Source organism: Homo sapiens, chromosome 3 (assembly GCF_000001405.40).
Source record: "Homo sapiens chromosome 3, GRCh38.p14 Primary Assembly".
Lineage (NCBI taxonomy): Eukaryota > Metazoa > Chordata > Mammalia > Primates > Hominidae > Homo > Homo sapiens.
In genome coordinates, this window is record NC_000003.12 from 43,947,131 (window position 1) to 43,950,136 (window position 3,006).

Here is a 3,006-nt window from a genome sequence, read left to right on the forward strand (position 1 = left end):
GTATGCAGAACATCCATCAATCATTAAAGAAACAGCCCTAGAAGTGAATTTAGGATTTGATGTTTCAGAACACTTTAGAAAAACTAAGGAACTCATTATATTCTCAGCAAGTATGAATTCATGGGGATCCAGAACCCTCTTTCTAATGTAGTCTCTTGTTAGACCGTCACTCATGGCCAAACACACAGATGTTCCAGCCAAACTATATTGCATTTTTAATACATTTATATATTCAGTAATCATGTCCCAGCTAAAGTCCCCAGTTAGTGCACTCTGCTCCCGGTGAACTAAGTCACCTGGTGGTTTTTTGCATTGAGTTAGGAAGCATCTCATTATTCAAACTGCAAGTAGCCCTTGGCCTCACTTAGAGGCTTAACTCCAAGTTTCCACATTACTCTTCACTGTGGAAGGGGCAATATTAAGGCTGTGTCCTCCAGGAGTCTGGGCAAGGCCCACATGATCTCTGATCTCTGACAGGGACCCTCCTCTGTGAGACCAGTTGACAAGTGGGAGGAGCTTAATGAACTTCCTGGTAAAGCTTCACTTGGGTTTGCTAGGCCACCTCCACACAAAGGCTGTGCTTTACAAGGTCGTCCTGTGTCCAGCCCTTTAGGTCTCTCCCGCAACACCACTGATACCTTCTCACACCTTCACCTCCAAGATCCCCTAGACACAGACCCCAGGAACTAACCCCTTTCTGATTAGGGACAGAAAGTGTCTAAGAACTGTCCTGTGACACAGACAGCCCCGGGAGGGATCCCACACAGCCAAACAGTATATGAATCTGGAATAAGCTCCAGCCACCACACATGGTGTCAGGTGTCCCTTATTTGTATACCCTTTGGCTGTGCTGGTCACCCTTACAGGGCCTGCCAAAAAAATGATCGACGCCCCTCCTCAGGAATGCTCTAGTTTTGAATCATTTTTATTGTGGGAGAGGTGGGCAGGTTGTATAACTGCAGACAGATGAGCCTTCCAAGAGTGGCCCATTTCGAAGGCATTGGGTAGAGGGCCAAGAAAACAAAGAGGCAATTTCCTATAGCCACATCAGAGAAATGTTGGGCAGGTTGCATCTAAACAGTTGCAAAGAGCTTGGGAAACACCAGGCCACAGGCAAACCACAGCCATGAATAATTACACCCCCACAGTCTCAGTGTGAGGAGGGTTCCCACCGTCTCAGGACAGAGCTCCTAGCTCAGCATGCGGTCTCCAAGCCAGGCCAGAATGTTGGGAAAGGGAGGGTGACTGGAAGCTAGATAGAACCCTGGGGAAGGGGCACTGTCTAGTCAGGAACAGAAGAGCATTGCAAGTACCAGGAGGCACTGGCAACCAGACAACAGGCAGAAATGCCCAAGAGATGCTGCAGGGCACATGTGGTATATTGGAAAGGGCATTGTTTGGGGGTTGGCCAAACATGGTTTCAAATTCCAGCTCCGCTACTGCCTTATTTTGAGATTCCCCCAGACACAGACTGTGAAACAAGGAGTTGGAGGCTGACTTGGTAGAAGACCCCAAGAAACATCAGTCAGGAGTGGAAAGTGAGGGGAGGCATAAGTTAGAGTGAATTATGAAACAGTTACCACTCCAGGAAGTGAGGCTCAGAGATGTTCCCACTCCCAGCCAGAGGCAACAACTGGGATATGTGTCCTCCAACACCCTTCCATCATCGGTTGAGGACATTCACTCTCTGGCACTTCAACTCGTCCTGTGTCCCTTGGAAAGGCAGGGGAACCCTGAGGCAGAAAGTTCGGGGGATTTCCCTTAGCATTTTTCAGTGTGGAAAGGTGAATGTTGAGGGGATACCCACGGGCCCTGACAGAGTCTGCCGTACCCACTTACTAGCCCTGTGACCTTGGGCAGCCCAATATCACGCCTGTAAGCCCTGCTCTCCTGATGGGTGAAGTACAGATAAAAACCCACATTCTTCTGAGGAAAGTGGGTCCTGTTCAATGGAGGGTCCCCGGTTCTGCCAACAACCTATGGGCTTGGTTTGGCTCCTTGGGTCTAAAGGCAGCAGCTCTGTAGGGTGAAGGAGAATTGAGAGCTTCTGGAGCAATCCAGAGGGATGGGGTGTAGAAACAGAGACAATGGGAAGAGAAGAGAGGGAAGGGGAGGTCACAGAGACCGCAAGGACATGTGATTCCCAGAACCCAGAGGTCTGCAAAACTTGAGATGTTGGTGGGAGTGGCTCTCTTTGGACACCTGTGAAAGGGCTGTGTTCTGAGACCAGGCTGATTCAAGTACAAATAAGAACAGTATGTCTGGATGGATGAGCCAAGAACACAGAAACCTAAAGGTCCCTAGGAATTAGTGGAGATTCTGGGGAGGTCTTTGGACCTCTCTAGGCTGCAGAGTTCATGGAAGTCCAATTGCCCCAAAAGCAGCCTCTGAGATGAGAACTTGGGTGTACATGTGTTTTTTGTGGAGGGGAATCCAGGGAAGGGAGTGTGTTAGTGAGTGGGTCTCCACGGTGGGCAACTAGGGCTCCACCCTTAGAGGGATCCTCTGAGGAACTGTGCAGAATGCACCTCAGAACTGTCCCACAGGGACAGAAGGTCGGATGTCTAACTGCAGAGCCCCCGGTTGACAGCTGTCCCTGGAGGTGCAAACACGCAGGCTGAGCAAACTCCTGTGGTGCAAGATGAAGCCTCCTGTGAAGAGAAAGAGGATGCAGGCACTGGAGGAGGCAGCTGTCAGCATGTAGGGAGTGTCCCCGGGCAGCATGGGACACCAAGATGGGCCTGGGGAACCGCAGCATCTGCTCCACCCACCTAGAGCACTGGGACAAGATTGTCTCAGCAGCACATGGGGCACAAAAATAATGACTCCTCCAAACAGCAAAGGTGCTTGGGGGCTGGTGGCTTTTGTGACAGTGGAGCTGCAGCCCCAGGTGAAGCCCAAGGAGTTCAAATATTTTAGAAGGCAGGCTGGCTGGGACTGCATGGAAGCTCATCCGTGCATGGGAAGGTGCTGTAGCTGCCATTCCCCAGCCACCACCCCCTACCC

The 3,006-nt window shown here is 50.7% G+C and overlaps 1 annotated feature.

The window, feature by feature from the left end:
• Window positions 2,519-2,578: an enhancer, noted in NCBI's record as "active region_19753". NCBI's record gives its function as "activates an Ori minimal core promoter by ATAC-STARR-seq in GM12878 lymphoblastoid cells {active_cell/tissue: GM12878}" and the evidence as "EXISTENCE:reporter gene assay evidence [ECO:0000049][PMID:35858748]".